The 20872-nt window shown below is 50.9% G+C and overlaps 1 protein-coding gene across 10 annotated transcripts in view, besides 3 other annotated features; it reads left to right on the forward strand.

Moving 5' to 3' along the window:
• Positions 1-20872, forward strand: part of KIAA0513 — a 66436-nt gene that overhangs the window by 29296 nt on the left and 16268 nt on the right. For 9 of the 10 annotated variants that reach the window (XM_047434984.1, NM_001388359.1, NM_001286566.2 and 6 more), the window contains exons 2-6: positions 9810-10310; positions 14693-14792; positions 15835-15908; positions 18754-18824; positions 20335-20542. In XM_047434984.1, coding sequence (XP_047290940.1) covers positions 9982-10310; positions 14693-14792; positions 15835-15908; positions 18754-18824; positions 20335-20542 — 782 coding nt within the window. In that variant the 5' untranslated portion in view covers positions 9810-9981. Of the gene's footprint in view, positions 1-6121; positions 6581-9809; positions 10311-14692; positions 14793-15834; positions 15909-18753; positions 18825-20334; positions 20543-20872 lie in introns of those variants that run through there. The other variant, NM_001286565.1, reaches the window with a different exon arrangement.
• Positions 10195-10695: an enhancer, noted in NCBI's record as "H3K4me1 hESC enhancer chr16:85100891-85101391 (GRCh37/hg19 assembly coordinates)". NCBI's record gives its function as "activates a minimal SCP1, AML or CMV promoter by ChIP-STARR-seq in naive H9 embryonic stem cells {active_cell/tissue: H9 hESC(naive)}" and the evidence as "EXISTENCE:reporter gene assay evidence [ECO:0000049][PMID:30033119]".
• Positions 19339-19894: an enhancer, noted in NCBI's record as "H3K4me1 hESC enhancer chr16:85110035-85110590 (GRCh37/hg19 assembly coordinates)". NCBI's record gives its function as "activates a minimal SCP1, AML or CMV promoter by ChIP-STARR-seq in naive H9 embryonic stem cells {active_cell/tissue: H9 hESC(naive)}" and the evidence as "EXISTENCE:reporter gene assay evidence [ECO:0000049][PMID:30033119]".
• Positions 19999-20068: an enhancer, noted in NCBI's record as "active region_11259". NCBI's record gives its function as "activates an Ori minimal core promoter by ATAC-STARR-seq in GM12878 lymphoblastoid cells {active_cell/tissue: GM12878}" and the evidence as "EXISTENCE:reporter gene assay evidence [ECO:0000049][PMID:35858748]".

Raw genomic sequence — 20872 nt, forward strand, 5'->3', positions numbered from 1 at the left:
CATAGCACCTCCACAGAAAGCATGTTTGTTTGCGAGTCAGCTGAATTGTTGAATGGGTTTTTCTTTGCCTCCTGGGTTATATTGTAAACCCCCTGTGGTCAGGAATTGTGGCGTGTACACTTTCATGCAGCCGAGATGAATGGCGTAGAGTCCAGGCTGATGCATTTTATTGATCAAAAGACCAGTAAATGATCATATAGTTTTTTCTCCTTTCAGTTACAAAATAAATCAGCAGCAGGGCATTTTACTGACAGTCTTCCTTAAACTGTTTCTCCCCCATCACCAAGTGTACAGGGCGACGGGAGGAGGTGTGTGGTGTGATTGGGCCCCCAGTGGCTGGACTCTGCAACTGACCTTGCAGACTATGGCAGGTGTGGAGGAAGGAGCAGTTCAGATGCAGCCCCTTTGGGTGGAGCTCACCTTTGCTGGCACTGTGAGTTTTCAACCAAAACACATTGACAACATCTCTTATGGGCCTGACCCTGTTCCAGTCCCGGGAATACTGCAGTGAAGAAAACACACACGACTCCTGACTCCCAGGGAACTTGTGTTGGTGGAGTATTGTCCTGGGATCTTCAGTCCTGGGCCACGAGGAGGCAGTCAGCCAGAGCTAGCCCGTATGCCAGTGCCTGGTTTAGAGGATCTCCACTGGAGAGGCTGCCTCTGCTTTTTGTTTTTGTTTTTTTTTTTTTTCTCTCTCTCTCCTTTTACCTTTCCTGTGGTGCTGAGGCTGCCTCTTTCAAGCCAGCACCTGTGAGTAGGTCATTCTGTGTGGGACCTGGTGTGTCTGCACACGGCTTGGTGTGGGCTGGAGCTGCCCCCACTGCCCTCCTCATTGGTGACCCCAACATTTTTGTCTTTACTGGGCAGTGCTCCCCACAGGAGTAGCCCCTACATATGGCTAAGATGCTGCTGCTGTCTGTGTCTGAGGGAATAAAGCCAGGCTCTTATGTTCACAGCAGAATGACAATTCTCCCTCCCCGGTGACTACAGCACGCGGATGCTATTTTGGTTATCAAATCAGAACCTCGGCACTTCAGGCCCTCTTCAGAGAATTCAGGCATGAATGGTCTGTGGTCTGACACTTGTCAAAAGCCCTACTGAGGCATCTGGCACTGGAGGAGAGGCACCCTCACGGGCATGTTCACTGTCACGCCTCATGTATCAGGGAGCTCTTCTCTTCACCTAGTAGCGGGATCCAGCCAGACAAATACCTGTACCAAATTGATTTCATGTATGCCTTCAGATTTTTTGAGAGTCTTTTAAAGAAATGCCTGTTTTGGCCGGACGCGTTGGCTCATGCCTATAATCCCAGCACTTAGGGAGGCCGAAGCAGGTGGATCCCTGAGGTCAGGAGTTCGAGACTAGCCTGATCAACGTGGTGAAACCCCATCTGTACTAAAAGTACAAAATTAGCCGGGTGGGGTGGCGCATGCCTGTAATTCCAGCTACTTGGGAGGCTGAGGCAGGAGAATCGCATGAATCCGGGTGGCAAAGGTTGCGGTGAGCCAAGATTGCTCCACTGCGCTCCAGCCTGGGCAACAAGAGCGGAACTCCATCTCACAAAAAAAAAAAAAACACACAAGAAAACAAACAAAAAACAACAAAAAAAGAAAGAAATGCTGATTTCAACATCTCTTTACCTTTTATAGATCTTGTTAGAGACCTTGTCATCACAGTAATCAGTGTCATTGCATACGAAGACCCTCCTGACAAGTGCATTTCCAAATTCAGTATCTGCAGAAAGCTACTCTGCAGATGAATTTGTCAGATCAAGAGAATTTTATGAGCAAGGATGCTTTTCTTTTTTGCTTTGGCTGCCAAGAAACTCAACTAAATCTACTGCCCAACTGCCATAATGAATTTGGTTGATTCCACCGTCTCGTAGTTGCTCTAGATCCATATTGACTGAGTATAAATCTATGTCTGGACAGCAACGCAAACACACTGACATTGGATTTAGACACACACATCTAAAAGGACATTGAAATTTCCTGTGACTTGACATGGACTGTTGGACCAACTATTAGACCAACTATTGCTTAGTAGTCTGAAACAGCCAAAAATCTCTTTTTGGCTCAGATAGGGTGTCATCAAAAGACATGTAAACATGACCTCATGGTAGAAGTGAACTGCTTCAAGCTAGTAATGTGCGTCTTGCAGGTATCCAGTATTGCTGTGTTTCCCTCAAAAAATTGATCTATGCTGTGGTGTCCCTATAACTTTGCTTAGGTGTTCTGGGGGTGCCCTGGTGCCAGTTTGGGAACCACAACTCTAGGTTAAAAACATTCTCAGCCCCTTGAGCTGTGCCTCATGTAGTGAGGATTTGGGGTTCCCCCTGAGCCAGGCTGTCTCCTCTAGTCATAGGAGGCAGTATCCAGCTAAGGTGGCTCCAGAAAAGAGTGGGGTGCCCGAGTGCGAACATGACGCTTAAGATGCTATCAGATGCCAGGTCTGCCTGGAGGTGGTCCCCGCACACACCCCTCTTCTCCAGCCCCACGTTTCTCATCTCTCAACTGGGAGTGAAAGCAATAATACTGCCTCAGTGGTGTGAAGTTGTTCTGAATGAAATGGTTTTGTGTAGTGCTGCACTTTGAAAGGTATGAACTGCTCTGATAATAGGGTCATTGATTTCTCCTCTGAGCTGTCTCATGTTAGCACGGCCAGGGAAGATCTTCAGCTTCGCCCTTCGAGCTGGGAGGACCATAACCTATTTCCCCAAAGTGTTTCTTCTAAGGCCCTTCATGTAGTGCGTCACTTCCTGTGATAATCCTACTGATTAGGGAAAAGAGCAATTCTCCTTCACATTTTTCAAAGAGGAAAACTAGGGTACAGATTCAAATGATTTCCCAGTTTGATTTTTTGTTTGTTTGTGTGTTTTGTTTTTTGAGACTGAGTCTCATTCTGTTGCCCAGGCTGGAGTGCAGTGGCGCTATCTTGGCTCACTGCAACCTCCGCTTCCCGGGCTCAAGCGATCCTCATGCCTCAGACTCCCGAGTAGCTAGGATTACAGGCATGCACCACCAGGCCTGGCTAATTTTTGTATTTTTAATAGAGACGGGATTTCACCATGTTGGCCAGGCTGGTCTTGAACTCCTGACCTCAGGTGATCCTCCTGCCTCAGCCTCCCAAAGTGTTGGGATTACAGGCGTGAGCCACTGTGCCCGGCTTTCTTAGGTTGATTTGTGATGGAGCTGAGACTCAAGGACGAAGAGGTGCATTTTTCCTTGTTTGGGCTGCCAGGGAGTTGGCAAACTAGGTACTTTAGTCAGCGGTGGAGAGGAGGGAACTTCAGGCCTCCCTCAGAGACACAGGTGGTGTCTCGGGGTCCCGGTGCCCCATGTGCACAGTGCACCTGCCCTTCCTGCACAGCACCCTTCACGGACAGCAGGAGCAAAACCCAGGGACCCCAGCTGTGAGGCTGGGGTTAGGTGATGTTTCCACCTTACAGTTGAAATGAAGGTCAGGCCAGGCACGGCGGCTCACGCCTGTAATCCCAGCACTTTGGGAGGCCAAGTTGGAAGGATTGCTGGGGCCCAGGAGTTTGAGACAAATCTGGGCAACATAGTGAGACCTCACCTTTATAAATAATAATAATAATAAGTTAGCCAGGTGTGGTAGCACATGCCTATAGTCCCAGCTACTCAGGAGGCTGAGACAGGAGGATCACTTGAGCACAGGAGGTCAAGGCTGCAGTGAGCCAAGATTGCACCACTCTACTTCAGCCTGGGCAACAGAGCGTGAACCTATCTAAAAAAAAAAAAAAAAGAAGAAAGAAAAAGACTGGGCCCAGTGGCTCACACCTGTAATCCTAGCACTTTGGGAGTCAGAGGTGGGTAGATCACCTGAGGTCAGGAGTTCGAGACCAACCTGGCCAACATGGTGAAACCCCATCTCTACTAAAAATACAAAATTAGCCCAGCATGGTGGCGGGAGCCTGTACTCCTAGCTACTTGGGAGGCCGAGGCAGGAGAATTGCTTGAACCCGGGAGGCGGAGGTAGTAGTGAGCCGAGATCACGCCACTGCACTCCATCCAGCCTGGGCGACAGAGTGAGTCTCCGTCTCAAAAAAAAAAAAAAGAAAGAAAAGTTTCAGGTAAAAGCCCACCAAGTATATATTGCTGCAGACAGACTTTTGGCAAAGTAACTTGGTGATTCCTATCACAAGCCTTAATAATGCGCACACCCTTTGGCCAGCAATTCCACATCTAGAAATGCCTCCTCAAGCATCTGAGATGTCGCTGTAAGAGGTGAGGATGACGTGGGGATCAGGGCCCCTGGTTCTCCAGCTGACCTGTGTGCGGGTTCCTTGCCCGGTCTCTTCCTGGCCTCTCCCCGCCTTGCCTTACTGCAGCTTCAACAGGGGAGACAATCCAGGTGCACATGCGTGTGATGTGTGTGTGTTGTGTGTTGCCTGAGGTTTTGCACACTCTGGGTGAGAGGAGCAGCACATTTGGGAGTTCTTGGGGACACGAAAAGAGAGGAGAGTCTTGAGGTTGATGGGAAGGGGCAGGCTCACAGAAAGTTCCAGATTCTCCCTGCAGGGAGCTCTTGTCTGATTGCCCAAGGCCAACCTGCTGGAGAAGCCACAGCTCTGGTTGTTCCGGGATGCTGGGGAAATCAGTGTGAGCACAGCTCCATGGGGAAGTGGCAGAGCAGCCACACCGGGGCAATCTCGTGAGTTCCTTCTACAGCTGGAGGCTGCTGGGTGGGAAGAAGCAGTGGGGGAAGTGGGGCGGAAGGGGTTGCAGCAGGAGGTTAGGAAACCCCCTCCAGAATACAGACCGCTGTGGCCTCTTTTCCCATGAGCGGTGGCTCCCCGGCCTCATTGGCCTTCCCGGTTCTTGAACTTTCTAAAGTGGTTACCTTAGGGCCTGCATGCTTCATGTTCCCTCTGCCTGGGTCACCTTCAAGCCTTTTCAATGCTGGTTCTCCCTCTTTCCATCTCAGCTCAGAGGTCTGCCTCCCCAACCTCCCCGTCCAAAGAAGCCACTTCTCAGCCCTCTCAGGACCATCACCTTCAGATCGTCTCTGTAGCACTTAGTGCTGCAGAAGCTCTTGTTTGGTTTTTTATTCTATTAACTCTATCTTCCCCTCTCCCTGCCCCTGGTACGTACGTAAACACACACACACACACACACACACCCCATAAGGTCTCACTCATGGCTTCATTTCTAGCTCCTTGCACAGTAACCGATGCATAGTAGATGCTCAGTACATGTGTGAAGAATGACTGGATGTTTGCAGAATCTCATAAGGGCTTTGGAAGGTACAGGTTGACTTAGAATTTTAGCCTAATTTGGTTGGTGGAAGCCTCCATCATGGGGCCTACGATGCGAATTGCAAAGTGTAACCGCAGGGGGGTTGCAGTGCTTCAGGCCCGCAGGCCAGCATGTTCCTATCTGCGGTGACACAGATTCCCCTGTGGCCAAAAACACGGTTTCTCAGAGTCTGGGGACCTGCAGTGGGCCTCAGTACCTCCTTGAATGTAGAACGAAGCAGATGGGCTGGGATGCAATCCACAGATGGGTTTTTTGACTCCCAGCGTGTTTTGAAATAAATTTAAATTAGTTGCCAGTGTTGAAAAATCAGAAGATTTCATGTAACGGGATTTCAGCATTCCTTAGAAACCTGTAGAAGCTCTGATACTCCTGGGTCTACATTCCCAAATGGTAGCACCGGGCTGGCTCTGAGCAGGGACAGTGTGGCTCCTTGCTGGACCACCTCCTCTGTTTTCGCCAGATGGCCAAGACTGTGACCCTGCAATGTGAGAGTGGCCATGACCTTGTCCTGCCTAGAGGCCCACAATGACCTTTCCTTCTTAGAGGAAGAGGGTGGGGTTGCTTCCCTTGCCATGACTACACACAGTCACTGCTGTGACATCTTAGATCTGTGAGCGAGCCCCAGACAGCTGAGATCCCTGAGCTGAGGGGTCCGGGGACAGGGGTGGTGCACGCCACAGCTATCGGCGTGCAGGACCAGCCCTCCTGCCACCCATCTGCTTCCTCTCACTCTGTGCCTCTCCTGTGATATCGCCTCCGTGCTGAGCCCACGGAGGAAGGCGGCACCCAGCACTCAGGGCTTCTGGGAGAGGGTGACTCACGAGAGCATCTGAACGGCCCAAGAGTGCCTGAGGCTGGATCAGAAATAGCCACGATCGTCCAGTTTGATTGATTGATTGATTGATTTAGTTGTGATGGAGTCTCGCTGTATTTCCCAGGCTGGAGTGCAGAGGCACGATCTCCGTTCACTGCAGCCTCCACCTCCCCGGTTCAAGTGATTCTCCTGCCTCAGCCTTCCGAGTAGCTGGGATTACAGGCACCTGCCACCACGCCCGGCTGATTTTTGTGTTTTTAGTAGAGACAGGGTTTCGCCATGTTGGCCAGGCTGGTCTTGAACTCCTGACCTCAGGTGAGCCACCCGCCTCGGCCTCCCAAAGTGTTGGGATTACAGGCGTGAGCCACTGCCCCCAGCCCCAGCTTGATCTTGAACCTCCTGTGTGTGGGCAGAGAGACATGGCCCTGCTACTGCTTGAACGGCTTCCGGAGACAGTGACTTGTTTCCTTTTTCCCTCTGAACTGTGAGTGTTTGCCATGCAGTGTTAGGATAATGAACAAAATGAAAGAGGAAATCACCCTGATGCCAGCACCGCCAGCCATTTCTACATTCTTTCCCATCGCTTTTGCATATGTATACATGATTGTAATTAGAGTAAAATTAAATTTCTCTCACTTCAGTATTCGCAGGCCTCTGAACAGGGGGTGGCAAGCAGGAGCACTCAGTAAACCTTGGCTGACCGAAGAATATTCTGTTTACTTCACTAGAAAGTGAACGTTTTCTGAATTGTATCATACACTGATCACTACTGCAACTTTTTCACATGTATTTACCATTTTACTATATTTATTTATTTACTTTTTTTTTTTTTTTTTTGAGGTGGAGACTTGCTCTGTCGCCCAGGCTGGAGTGCAGTGGCCTGACCTCAGCTCACTGCAACCTCTGCCTCCCAGGTTCAACCGATTCTCCTGCCTCAGCCTCCCGAGTGTTTAGGATTACAGGCGTGCGCCACCATGCCTGGCTAATTTTTGTATTTTGAGTAGAGACAGGGTTTCACCGTGTTGGCCAGGCTGGTGTCGAACTCCTGACCTCAGGTGATCCACCCGCCTCAGCCTCCCAAAGTGTTGGGATTACGGGAGTGAGCCACCGTGCCTGGCCCGTTTTACTATATTTAGGTATTTTTTCTACCCATCTCCCCAGTTAGTCAGGATTATAAATACTGTTGCAATGAGCATTTTTCTCTATGTAAGTTTTTGTGTGTTTTGAATTATTTTCTTAGGATAAATTCCAAGCATTTGAATTCCTGAATCAGAAGAGAGAAAAATAAGAATGATAGAAATTGCCTTTTGAAGTATTATCTCTCCCTATTCCAGCAGTGTTTGAGAATGTTAATTTTACCATAACTTTACCAGTATTTAGATAGTTTTTAAATTTTTGCTAATTTAGAAGTATGGGATGGTACCTTGTGGCTTTAATTTGCATATTTATATCGTGGTTATTAGTATGGGTTGAAGAATTGTCTACGCCTTTAATAATTGTATTTCTTTTTTCTTTTTTTGAGACGGAGTTGTGCTGTCACCCAGGCTGGAGTGCAATGGCACCATCTCGGGTCACTGCAACCTCCGCCTCCTGGGTTCAAGTAATTCTCCTGCCTCAGCCTCCTGAGTAGCTGGATTACAGGCAAGCCCCACCATGCCTGGCTAATTTTTGTATTTGTAGTAGAGATGGGGTTTCACCATGTTGCCCAGGCTGGTCTTGAACTCCAGACCTCAGGTGATCCACCCGCGTCAGCCTCCCAAAGTGCTGGGATAACAGGCGTGAGCCACCGCGCCCGGCCTATAATTGTATTTCCTCTTGCGTGCCTTGCCTATTTGAGTGGTTTGTGTAGCTGTTAGAATATAGACTTTTTAGAGTTGTGTGAATTTGTAGTACAGACAGCACTAGCTTAATGTTCCTACTATATTTACTGTAAACATTTTACTAGTGTGTGGTTTTTCATTTTTAATGCCGGGCATGTTACTGTGTGTGTGGTTTTCTGTTCTTTGGTGAGTGAGAATGCGCTTGTGGAAGGGCCTTGGGTTTCTGATCCAATCTTGATGCCTCGGCCAGGGGGGACCCATCAGAGACTAGGCGCCCTGGCCGGGGACGCAGCTGGCGAGGGGAGACCCCGACCGGCCACTCCTTGCTCTCCAGGTCCCTGAGCTGTAGCCACTGCCTTTTGAGCTCATCAGAGTCCTTGGTGCTGTCCTGGCCTGGAAAGTTCTACTGAGCTGAGGTTTATGCTTCTCTCTTGTGGACGGAGGCTTGCTTTGCGGGGCTCCCCTGAACACGCCTAGCACCACGCTGGTGACCTGGAACCAGCCTTTTCTCTTTCTGACTCAGGGTATTTAAAAATATCCCAGGCTGGAGAATTTGGAGGAATCCATCATCAATGGGTGAGCATTAAGCTCTTAAGAGGCAGAAAAGGCCATTCTGCTATTGAATTGTCCTCTGAAGATGCGTTCAGTTCAGCAGTTTCACAGCCACCTCACTGGCAGGCATTGTCCTAGATATTTGGGGTCTAACAGGGACAGGGCTGTGGTTAGAGGTGTGCTCTGCTCTGAGGGGCTGTCAGGAGGGCGTCTCCTTCCCGCCTAGCTGTCTGCCTCTGTACTGGTGAGGAAGGTTCCCCAGTACCTTCTAAACCAGCAGTCAGGAGACCTGGGTTAGAAGCGAAGATTCAGATCCCAGCTCTGCCACCCTGTGACCTATGTAGCCAGCTCCCCTGACCCTGTGAGCATGTTCACAATCCGGTCTGTTCCTTCGTTCAGCAAGCACACGACACACATGCACGTAGTCAGGAGTCCTCGCTGGGCACAGCATGGCTACGGTGGTGCCAGGGCATGGTCCCTCTGGAGGGGCGTATACTTTACGGGTAAACAGAGATACTGGTGTCTGTCAGTAAAGCAAGCAGGATGATGAATGAGGCTGAATAAGATGCTGGAGCCCACAGAGGAGTCAGTCATTCATGTTGAATAGGAGCAGAGTGGAGCTTCTCAGAAGACGTGGCCGAGGCAGAGGCTTGAGGGGTGAATAGAACTCCAGGGTGGGAATGGCGGAGGAAAAAGTTGGGGAATGGAGAAGGGAGAGGGCTGCCCAGGCTGAGGAGCCGAGGGGTGTGTCGTTGTCCAGCGGGGCTGCAGTGCTGGGAGAGGGGACAGGTCCAGATGGCAAATGTTGTGCTTAGCAACCATCATAGGGTTTGAGAAGGATGCTGAGAGGAGATAGACCTGTGACAGTCCGGGAATGCTTTTGACGAGAACAGAGCCCAGGAAGGAGGAGGTCAGAGCTCAGGAGGTGAGGTGTGTCTTCCTCAGTAGGGAGGTTCTTCCGTAGCCACTGATTCCAGTGACAGCTAGCGGGCAGGTGGATTGTCCCTGGTGATCCTCCGTTTCCAGCCCAGGATGGGCCTTTTCTGTCCTGGCGATGGGCTCAGTCTTGGGGCTGGAGCGGGGAGGAGGCCAGCAGAGGCCGTGTGCTGACAGTCTGAAATGCTGATGTCAGTGTTTATTTGTTCATTCATTTCACAAGTATTTATTGAGGACCTACCATGGACCAGGTGTTGAACAGTAAAGCGGACAGTAGGAAGATGATAGCAAAGAGGCACCCCAAATTCCGGAAGAGCAGAGATTCTCTTTCTGGGGAGTCTGTGATCTAGGTCGGGATTCTGGTGAGGAGTGGCGCTAATGTCTGTGTCTGTGTTTCCATTCTAGATGCCGTAGGGCCAGGTGAGCTGCTGTGAAGGACTCATTCTTGGTAGCCGGCAGTTACTGGCAACTTGTGAGCTTGGTGGGCTCCTACTAACGCACCTGGGACACCAGGCTGCTGGGCTCCCCTCTAGGCAGCCTCCCCTCCAGGCAGCCTCACCAGCAGCTCCCCTGAGCCATGGAGACCCCAGAGGTCCCCGTGGGCTCGCTAATCGACTTTGGGCCTGAGGCACCCACCTCTTCTCCCCTGGAGGCACCACCCCCTGTGCTGCAGGACGGCGATGGCTCCCTGGGGGACGGTGCATCAGAGAGTGAGACCACTGAGTCTGCGGACAGTGAGAATGACATGGGCGAGTCGCCCTCGCACCCGTCCTGGGACCAAGACCGCCGTTCCTCCTCCAACGAGTCCTTCTCCTCCAACCAGAGCACCGAGTCTACCCAGGATGAAGAGACCCTGGCACTCAGGGACTTCATGCGTGGCTACGTGGAGAAGATCTTCTCTGGAGGGTAAGGGGCCTGTGTGGACGAGACAGCCTGGTGTGGCCACAGGGCCCAAGGGGACTCGCCTCCTGCTCTCGGCTCTGCCTCTCCCCAGGGTGCCACCTGGGACCAGAGCTTCCATTTCCCCATCAGCCAGGGGTGGCGACTGCAGGGGCCTCACTCCACTCCAGGCTGCATGCAGAGCCACGTGGAGAACTTTAAAAGAATACCTGAGCCTGGACTTCACTCCAGACCAGTTATATCAGTTCTCTAGGGTGAGGCCCAGCATCAAAGTATGTGCGGCTCCCAGGTGATTTGGAAGGGCAACCATGCAGAGAATCCCTGGAGGGACACGCTCCGGAGTGCCCAGCTCACAGGTCCCCATCATCCCCGTGAGCTCCATTATGTTCTTTTTGTTTATTTTCTTTTCTTTTTTTCTTTTTTTTTCTTTTTTTGAGACAGAGTCTGGGTCTGTCACCCAGGCTGGAGTGCAGTGGTGCGATCTCAGCTTAATGCAAGCTCTGCCTCCCAGGTTTAAGTGATTCTTCTGTCTCAGCCTCCCGAGTAGCTGGGACTATAAGCACCCACCACCACGCTTGGCTAATTTTTGTATTTTCAATAGAGACAGGGTTTCACCATGTTGGTCAAGCTGGTCTCGAACTCCTGACCTCATGTGATCCACCCGCCTCAGCCTCCCAAAGTGTTGGGATTACAGGCGTTAGCCACCGTACCCGGCTGAGCTCTGTTATTTTCCAGTGCATGTTGTTCCTGAATTTTATCCACGCATTCTTTTTTTTTTTTGAGAAGGAGTCTCACACTGTTGCCCAGGCTGGAGTGCAGTGGTGCGATTTCAGCTCACTGCAACCTCCACCTCCTGAGTTCAAACAATTCTCCTGCCTCAGCCTCCCAAGTAGCTGGGATTACAGGTGTGCACCACCACGCCTGGCTAATTTTTGTATTTTTTTTGTTTTTTTTTTGAGACAGAGTCTGGCTCTGTGGCCCAGGCTGGAATGCAGTGGCGTGATCTTGGCTCACTGCAAGGTCCGCCTCCTGGGTTCACACCATTCTCCTGCCTCAGCCTCCCAAGTAGCTGGGACTACAGGTGCCCGCCACCACACCCGGCTAGTTTTTTGTATTTTTAGTAGAGACGGGGTTTCACCATGTTAGCCAGGATGGTCTCGATCTCCTGACCTCATGATCCGCCTGCCTTAGCCTCCCAAAGTGCTGAGATTACAGGTGTGAGCCACCACGCCTGGCCAGTTTTTGTATTTTTAGTAGAGATGAGGTTTCACCATGTTGGCCAGGCTGGTCTCGAACTCCTGACTTCAGGTGATCCGCCTGCCTCGGCCTCCCAAAGTGCTGGGATTACAGGCGTGGGCCACCGTGCCCGGCCATCCATGCATTCTTAAACAAGGCTTTGGAGGGACTGTCTCTTTCTTTTCCCTCCGCCAACGCTTGTCTCACCTCATTGTTGCTAAACACAAGGGGCACTTGTTCTGCTTGTGGGACCATCTGAGCATGTGTAGGCTAGCCACTCCCTAGCGCTCCTTGTCACAGCTATAGTTGGCTAAGAGGTTGCAATGATTCACTGAAATTAAATATAGGGCCAACGTAAGATAATAAAGCTGTGGTTAGCCATACTGGTGTGCTCATAAGGAGCAGATTCTTTTTTAGAGAGACAGGGTCTTACTCTGTTGCCCAGGCTGGAGTGCAGCGACACAATCACAGCTCACTGCAGCCTCCATCTCCTAGGCTCAAGCAGTCTTCCCACCGCAGCCTCCCGAGTAGCTGGGACTATAGGTACACACCACCATGCCCAGCTCATTTTTTTGTGTTTTTTTTTTTTTTCTTTTTGGAGGCAAGGTCTCACTCTGTCACCCAGGCTTGAGTGCAGTGGTGCAGTCATAGCTCACCACAGCCTCAAACTTCTGGCCTTAAGCAGTCCTCCTGCCACGACTCCCCGAAGTGCTGGGATGACAGCAGTGCGCCACTATACTGGCCAGCAGCTGATTCAGAAGCAGCTGTTTGCATGGGGCCCTTCCCTGGATGGCCGTTCTTTTGTGGTTCTTGAGGGTAAAATAAGGAGTATTGACAATTGGAGCAGCAGGAAGGGAGAGTTCGGGGCTGTGACGTCCACTGAGAAGTGGGAATCTGTGCATCAGCCTGATGTTTCCCTACCCCGGTTCACTGCCTGTTAATATCTCAGCCAGGGGAAGGAGGACGCACACACACCCCGGAGCCATGGGGTTCAGGTGTGGATTGTGGAGCTTCCACCATTCACAGCAGCACACTAGATAAGGATGGTCTTGCTGCTGTGTCGTGTGTGGGCCGGCAGCATTGGCATCTCCTGGGAGCTTGTGAGAAATGCAGAGTCTTGAGCCCTGCCTGGCCCCACTGAGTGAGAACGTGCCCTTTAACAAGATCAGTAGACAGTTCTTACACGTCAGCGTCTGAGAGGCACTGGCTTAAGGGTAAGTTTTCCAGTTTCATTAACACAATTAGAATTTGTGGCCAGGCTCAGTGGCTTGCACCTGTATTCCCAACACTTTGGGAGGCTGAGGCGGGCAGGTCGCTTGAGCCCAGGAGTTTGAGACCAGCCTAGGAAACATAGTGAAACCCCCTCTCTACAAAAAAAAAAACCACAAAAATTAGCCAGGCATGGTGGCATGTACCCATAGTCCCAGCTACTCAGGAGGCTGAGGTTGGGGGATCAATTGAGCCAGGGAGGCTTAGGTTGCAGTGAACCGTGATCGGACTACTGCACTCCAGCCTGGGTGACAAAGGGAGACCCTGTCTCAAAAAAAAAAAAAGAAAAAAGAAAGAAATTTTGCGTTTTACTCTGCAGAGTCCATTGTTTCCACCGTGATTTGAGTCCCGCATGTGTAAACTGTCAAGGGCTGACTTCCGCCTTATTCATGGGTGCTTTTCATTTGATGGAGACCAGCCTCAGTTTTCTATGTGGTTAGAAAAGAGAACCGTTATATGATAATCCAAATATCTGACTGTCTCAAAATGCATTTATGGGCTGAGTACGGTGGCTCACACCTGTAATCCCAGCACTTTGGGAGGCGAGGCAGGTGTATCACCTAAGGCCAGGAGTTTGAGACCAGCCTGGCCAACATGATGAAACCCCGTCTCTACTAAAAACACAAAAATTAGCTGGGCGTGGTGGCAGGTGCCTGTAATCCCTGCTACTCGGGAGGCTGAGGCAGGAAAATCACTTGAACCCAGGAGGCAGAGGTTGCAATGAGCTGAGATTGCGCCACTGCACTCCAGCCTGCGCAAGACAGAGCGAGACTCCGTCTCAAAAAAAATTGATAAATAAAAATGCATTTATGTTTAATTTGAGTGCATTTTAGGAGAGCAGATGTAGCTTCCTACTCGTTTTGTTTGACCAACACTGAGATGGGTGCGCTTTCTCTGAGCACACGCTGGTTAACGAAAGGGGAAAATGCCCAGAAGTTTGTTCATTTGCCAGGAAAGCCAGCCTCTATTTGCAGTAGCCCATCAGCAATACGGAATGTGGACACCTGAGTCAGATGCATCTTCACAAGCGTTCCAGAAATTACTGCAAAAGCCTGCAGATACACATATTTCATCTGATGCTGTTATTGAGAGTAAATAAGGACCAAGATGTTTTCTACAAAACATAAATGAAGATTGCATAAGCCAAGTGATCTTCAGCCTTCTGCTCCATTTTTGAGTCTTTAAATTTGGGAAAGAGTGTTGGCCCCTTGCAAAGAGTGATGAGAAGTGGCCTGAAATCATGTGAGCATGTTATCCATCCTAGTGGTGGCGACACCAAGATGGAGGTCCCCGGTCTCCATCCCTCTCACACACAGCAGGGGATGGCCTGAACCATGAGCAGCCTCGCTCCAGAAGTGCAGAGGGATGAGCGAGCGCCCCGCTGATACGTGGGAGGTGATTTTCTTCTTGGCCTCAGACCTTGGCGTCAGTATGCTGAGACAGAGCAAATTCAGGATGTCTTAAATTCAGGGGCTGGTTCCATGCTGACTTCAGCATCAAAAACTAGTGGGAAGTCAGAGAGCTGGAGAACCAAGACCTCTTAGGGTTCGTGCCCTTATCCAGGCTCAGACCTCCCCAGGCAGGGGTCAGGAGGCGCAGGGGAAGGACATGGGCTTTGGAACCAGGAAGGCTGGATGGAACTCTGGTTCACCACTCTCAAGCCGGCGTGTGATTCTCCAAGCCAGGCTCCTCGCCTTTGAAATAATAGTAACACCCTTTCCTCATGGGACCGCCCGGAGGCTGAGATGAGCTGATGGGAGTTGGGGTCTGTGCTTGGCTGGGGAATATTTCGTTAGTTCCTTCTCCTTGCTCTTCCCCTGTTGCTCCAGGGGATTGAAAAGGGTTTTTTTTTTTTTTCCTCTGCTCTTTTTTTTTTTTTTTAGGGAGGACTTGGATCAGGAGGAGAAAGCCAAGTTTGGAGAGTACTGCAGCAGTGAAAATGGAAAAGGCCGGGAGTGGTTTGCTCGATACGTGAGTGCCCAGGTAAGGGCGAGGTGATGGGAAGGATGGGCGTTTACTCTCAAGGAAGAATCTAGTGAAGCATAACAAATTTGACTTTATCCTACAATGACACTCTGGAGAAAAGAGTCAAGGGAAAGGACCCAACAGTAAAAAAAGTAAAACTTATCCAAAAATACTCTGAAAAGGAGTGTTTAGAATAGTAAGAAACAGTCTGGGCACAGTGGCTCATGCCTGTAATCCCAGCAGTTTGGGAGGCCGAGGTGGGAGGATCGCTTGAGCCCAGGAGCTTGAGACCAGCTTGGGCAACATAGTGAGGTCCCCCCTCCCCGCATCTCTAAAAATTAAAAAAGAATAGTGAGAAACAGGAAGTAGCTCATTTGGATGTCGCACTTCAAGGGAAAGAGTAAGAAACTGGGCTTTCAACTTTATGAAATTCCGGAAAAGCTCAGTTTTTAAAGGCAAGCATGTGAATTATGTGCGTGCATATTTTTATTAACCCATAATACTCAGTGTTTTGTAAAAAACAAAAAATATTCAAGACCATGACAGCCATGTGAAGAAAATATATTAACAAAGTTTAGAAAAGAATTAAATTTTGTAAATATCCAATAGGTTCTTTTTTTTTTTTCCTGAGTGGCCTAAGTTTTTAGTTTTTGAGTATTTTAGTGCAAATAATTTATTTTTCATGGAAAAGTTAGAAAATGCAGATGAGCAAAGAGAAGTTAATTACCCACAAATGCACAATTTGGAAACAGCCAGTGTTGTCACTGTGGGGTATCTTTCTGTGTGTGGGTGTGTATGAAGTTCCTACTTTTAAAAATCTGGGAAGGACACCGAGGGGAACCCCTGCATGTGCCCTGCCCAGTGATGGTTGGGTGCAGGTGGCTACACTCTGCCCGGGTCCTGGCAGAAGGGGTGGGTTCTATAGTGCAGAGGCAGCAGACATCCTGGGCCCCCATCCCAGCTGCATTTGGAAACACTGAGAGTGCAAAGCCTGCAGCTTCACTGAGTGCTGCGTGTGTCGCCCTGAACCTCAATGATGTGTCTGCCTCTTTCTGGACAGCGCTGCAACTCCAAGTGTGTCTCAGAGGCAACCTTCTACCGCCTGGTGCAGTCTTTTGCAGTGGTGCTGTTCGAGTAAGTAATGCCGTGGCACAAAGCCTTTGTCCTGGCAAGCTCCTCTTCCCTCCCTGCCTCCCTCCCCACCCAGCCGTGTCATAACCCAGCTGTGAACCATATCCACACTAGTCATCAGGTTGCAGTTGCTCTGCTACGCCCAGCATTCAGCTAAAAGGCACAGTCGTGACCTCCATCTCGCGGGAGCAGGGCTGGCAGTCCTTAGCTGGCAGCGAATGAGAGGGCTGCCGCTGCGTGTGAGGAGCATCCTCTGTGTGGGTCCTCAGGGCCAGATGGTGATGGTGCACTGTGGCCCTGCCCTCCCCGGGAGATCTGGTACTTTCCCGAGTTCCTATTGTAGAGTACTTCAAACTCAACCACCCACCCCACTAGCATATAAACACTTAATGATATGTTGGGAGGACTGTAGCTTTCCCTGCGAACACTGATTAGGCACTGCTGGGGCCTTTTATCACAGGAAGCCCTTGGTAGGCGGTGAGGGGTGGTGGAAAGGGCATGGCTGCCAGCTGGAGATTTGGGGCCAATCCCATCTCTGCCCCCGCTCACCTGTGAGATTAGGGAGCCAGACCCCATGAGGCATAGACCCTCTTCTCAGGAGCATGACTCTCTGGGGTCAACAGACCAGCTTCATGCCTCCAAGGTGTGAAATGGAGGGGATGCCTCTTGGCCTTGGGGAGGCTGGGCAGTGGCCTGACCGACCCGGAGCCTCGAGAGGAGGATTCTGGGGCTGGGAGCCCTGATCTGGGCATATCTGTACCCCACTATCCTCGTCTCCTGCAGAAGGCCTCCAAGCAGTCCCTGCTTTGGGCCCCACGTCCCCTCCTGGTCCTTGGCTCATCCCATCGCCACCTTCTCACATCACTGCCTTTGTTTTGTCCTTCCAGGCCTGAAAAATATCCCTCCTTTACTTCCTTGTCTCCCAACCAAAAGAAAGCTGCTCTCTTGTGTCGTTTTTTTTGTTTTGTTTTGTTTTTGTTTTTGTTTTTGTTTTTGTTTTGAGACAGGGTCTTGCTCTGTCACCCAGGCTGGAGTGCAGTGGGATCTCAGCTCACTGCAACCTCCGCCTCCCGGTTTCAAGCAATTCTCCTGCCTCAGCCTCCTGAGTAGCTGGGATTACGGGCACGCACTATCATGCCCAGCTAATTTTTGTATTTTTAGTAGAGACAGGGTTTCACCATGTCGGCCAGGCTGGTCTCGAACTCCTGACCTCAAGTGATTCACTTGCTTCAGCCTCCCAAAGTGCTGGGATTACAGGAGTGAGCCACCACACCTGGCCATATTCCATTTATATATACATATATATATACACACATACACACACACACACACGTATATATACACACATACACACACACACACACACACATATATATTTAGTAGAGATGAAGTCATCAGGCTGGTCTCAAACTCCCGGGCTCAAGGGATCCTCCTTCGTCAGCCTCCCAAATTGCTAGGATTACAGGCGTGAAACACCACACCCAGCCTGCTCTCTTGAGTCCCAGTTCTCCTGCTTCATGTCTCTCCACTTTCTCTCTTTCTCTTTGAACTTGGGCATATACTGGAAGAAGACCAACAAAAGGAGTATCCCTATTTTTCCTGCTCTTGCTCAGGATACCCCAAGTCCAAGATCCATTTCCCCTCTGAGGTCTGGCCTTCAGAGCTGGCCAGGGGAGGGCTAAGAAACCACTGAAAGAGGTTGAGTGAGCCCTCACCTTTGGCCAAGAGGGCGGTGGTTTAAAACAGGCCCTCCAGATTGCCTTTTATGAAACATTCTCTCATGCAATTAAGATACTTCAATTTCCGACATTTGCAGTCACAGGCATTTTCATGAAGTCCCATTTTGCATAGTTCTAATTCTCCATTTTCTTTCTTTCTTTTTTTTAATTTGCACTAGGCTAAAAGTAATTCTCCATTTTCCTTTGAGTTTTTTGTCCTATATAAGTAACGTTGGGGAGGGAGGGGATTAAAGTCCCAACCCTGCCAAAACACAAAAATTCTTGCCATCACTTGGTCCCTGAGCATATATATGTTTGTATAGTTGCAAAAACAAAGTGAAACAAAAACCCTTTTACTATTTAGACAATATGGGATTTTTTAGTTTTATAATCTTTAGTTTGTTAAACATCTAAAGTAAAAAGTTAATTTTTACTTTTAGTCTTTTATAGTTTTATTACTAGTTTAGTTGATTAGTTTTTTATATAAAAAGATAAAAATGGCCTTTAATCCCACTGTCTAGATAATTTCTTTTGACTTGTAAAGTAATAATTGTCCAAGGTTAAAACCCAAACAGGAAAGAAAAGTCTAAAAGGGATCAGGATAGAAAGGCAAAGAAACCTACAAGGCAAAGGAATGGCCCGACCCAAGACCAAGACCTGTTGAATCAGAGGCTCCACCTCCTGACACCCCACTGCGAATGCTGTGGGCGGGAGCCTGAGAGCCAGGGATGCGGGGAAGGTCATCCAGCTTACTGCTAGTTCCCGAGAAATCAAGGGCTGGAGGGCTGGGCGGCCTGAGCCACGGGTTTTCACTGAGACTTGAGGGCTGGCATCTCATCCTGGCTCTGCTCCTGGGCGTCAAGTTGAGCTTCCCAGGCCTGGGCTTTCACCTTTCCAGTGAAAGAAGCCGGGCAGGCAGACCACAAACTCCTTCCCGTTCAGAATCAGTCCCAGGCCGTGTGCCTACGTGTAGTTCTCCTAATGGAACTTGGGGAGATTGTTTTGTGCATCTCCAGTGGGGAAGATATTAATTGGGACGCATGTGTCAAGTGTCTCAGTGATGTCTGACCGACTTGCAGGAAGAAGCAGGTGGAGCGATCTTTAGCCATGAGCCTTGCCTCTTGTTTCAGGTGTCATCAGATGGATGACTTTGGGCCTGCCAAGAACCTCATGACCATGTGCTTCACCTACTACCACATCGGTAAGACATGGGTGGGCTGATGTGGGGCTCACCTGAGGCTAGTCTGCTGATAATATGGTGTCAGAGGAAGCTTTCTTCATGATAAAAAGCAAAAGCTATGGGGCCTCCAGAGAACAGAGGAAGCTGATGTTAGGGAGGAGTGAGACTTCGGAGAAAACACAGTCCGAATCATGGGGCAGGAGGTTGACTGCCCAGGGTACGAAGGAAACTCTCCTGGGGCAGTAGGTTGACTGACCAGGGTGCAAAGGAAACTCCTGAGCTGGTAGGAGATGAGAAAAGAAACAAGCTAGGCAGGACATTTCATGGTGGAAACAGGAACTGCTGGACATGAAGTTATCAGTTTTATGTTTTACCAAAACAAGACGACACAGTTGGTTGTTGGAGGGTGGTGGGGAGGAGCAGCGTAGGATCTGAAGCTGCAGAGAGTTCCCAGGGATGGGCTGGAGATGGCTTATGAGGAGTGCGGACTGTGCTTGATGCTGAGGCTAGGACATCTCTTCCGCCTCATTGCGTTGGCACTTTCTCGTATGTTGGAGCTCAAGGGCTTCCTGCGTGAGTCTCCTTGGGCTGCAGCAACAGGACTCATTCAGGCCACCATAGGTGGGAGGTTGCTGGAAGCCTCCTCGTGGACTGGAGCTAGGTCAGGGAGGTGCTAGGCCCTGGTCCCCCGTGCTTTCCTCTCTCGGGACCCGCGTGCTCACTCTTGGGGTGTATGTATCCCCTCCCCCTCCCACAGCCATCCTCTCCGCACCCCTCAGTTCAGTTGGTCCAACTGCCATGGCTGGTGTCCCAGCCTCACCAGTGGGCAGGCCCTTCCTGCCAGGCCACACGTCGGCTGCTTTGGGTGGGGTAGGAACCCCCCAGTACAACCTGTGGCTCCTCCTTTTTGAAGAACGGATAGACACATAATGAATAGACACTGCTTCCTGAGACAGGGCCACCCACAGCAGCTTCAGCTAGCGAGGACACCCCACTGGGACCTGCAGAGGGCCTTTGACCTATAGTGGGCACTGAGGCCCGTGGGGGTGCCTCATCCTGTGGGGGTGCCAGGGCCTCATGTCCATCCACTGGCTAAGGGAGTTTGGGTGCTGCCCAGACTCCTCCTCCAGGCCCCCCCCCAACCCGGTGTCTCCACACTCCCATTCCAGGGGCCTGGTGCCCAGCTGGCTTCTGCCTCCCTGGCACTGGCATGGTCGGGCCTCTGCCCTCGCCTGCCTGCAGACCCTGCCACTTGGGCCTCGCTCCTCCTGCTTGCATCTACTTTGCTCCCTCCCTGCTCCTAGTGGCTTCTCAGTGCACAGCAGGTGCTGGGGGCACTCACGGGGAGCAGGGCCCCCACTTCCTCATCCTGGGCCGGCTGAGCCTGCACCACCCCCTGTCCTCGGCTGAGGAGGGAGGCTCCCGTATCCCCACTGCACAGGACCCCTGCGGGGCTCCCTCTGGGCCTCTGCAGTTAGCAGGCGCATACCCCAGCCTCACTGGCCTCGTCTTGTTCCCTCTCTCATCCAAGGAAAACCACAGCTGCTGCCCCCGGAGTCCCGGGAGAAGCCCGCGGGCAGCATCGACTCCTACCTGAAATCCGCAAACAGCTGGCTGGCCGAAAAGAAGGACATCGCCGAGCGGCTGCTGAAGAACACCTCGGCCAGGACTGAGAATGTCAAGGGCTTCTTCGGGGGGCTGGAGACCAAGCTGAAGGGGCCCCTGGCCAGGAGGAACGAGTACGTGTGGCCTTGGGGTCCCTCCCACCTGCAGGGGACTGGGGAGAGGCTGGTGTGGAGCTCGGACGGGGGCAGCAGGGAGGGTGCGGGTGAGGCCCAGAGACTGTCAGGAACACTGCGCTGCCCAGCCACTTCTGCCCCCACGGCTTGCTATGGTCTGCAAAGCCAAGCCCCCCCCACTGACATGCAGGGATGTCCCTGGGGGCCACACTCCCTGGGACTGATGAGGAGCCCAAGGGATTGTCAGATGGCAGAGGGAACTGCAGCCCTCCCTTCTGTCTCCTCTGTCCCCTCCATCCCCTGGCTGGACCAACAGTGAGTGCTTGTGGA

The sequence above is a fragment of the Homo sapiens genome, chromosome 16, assembly GCF_000001405.40.
Source record: "Homo sapiens chromosome 16, GRCh38.p14 Primary Assembly".
Classification (NCBI taxonomy): Eukaryota; Metazoa; Chordata; class Mammalia; order Primates; family Hominidae; genus Homo; species Homo sapiens.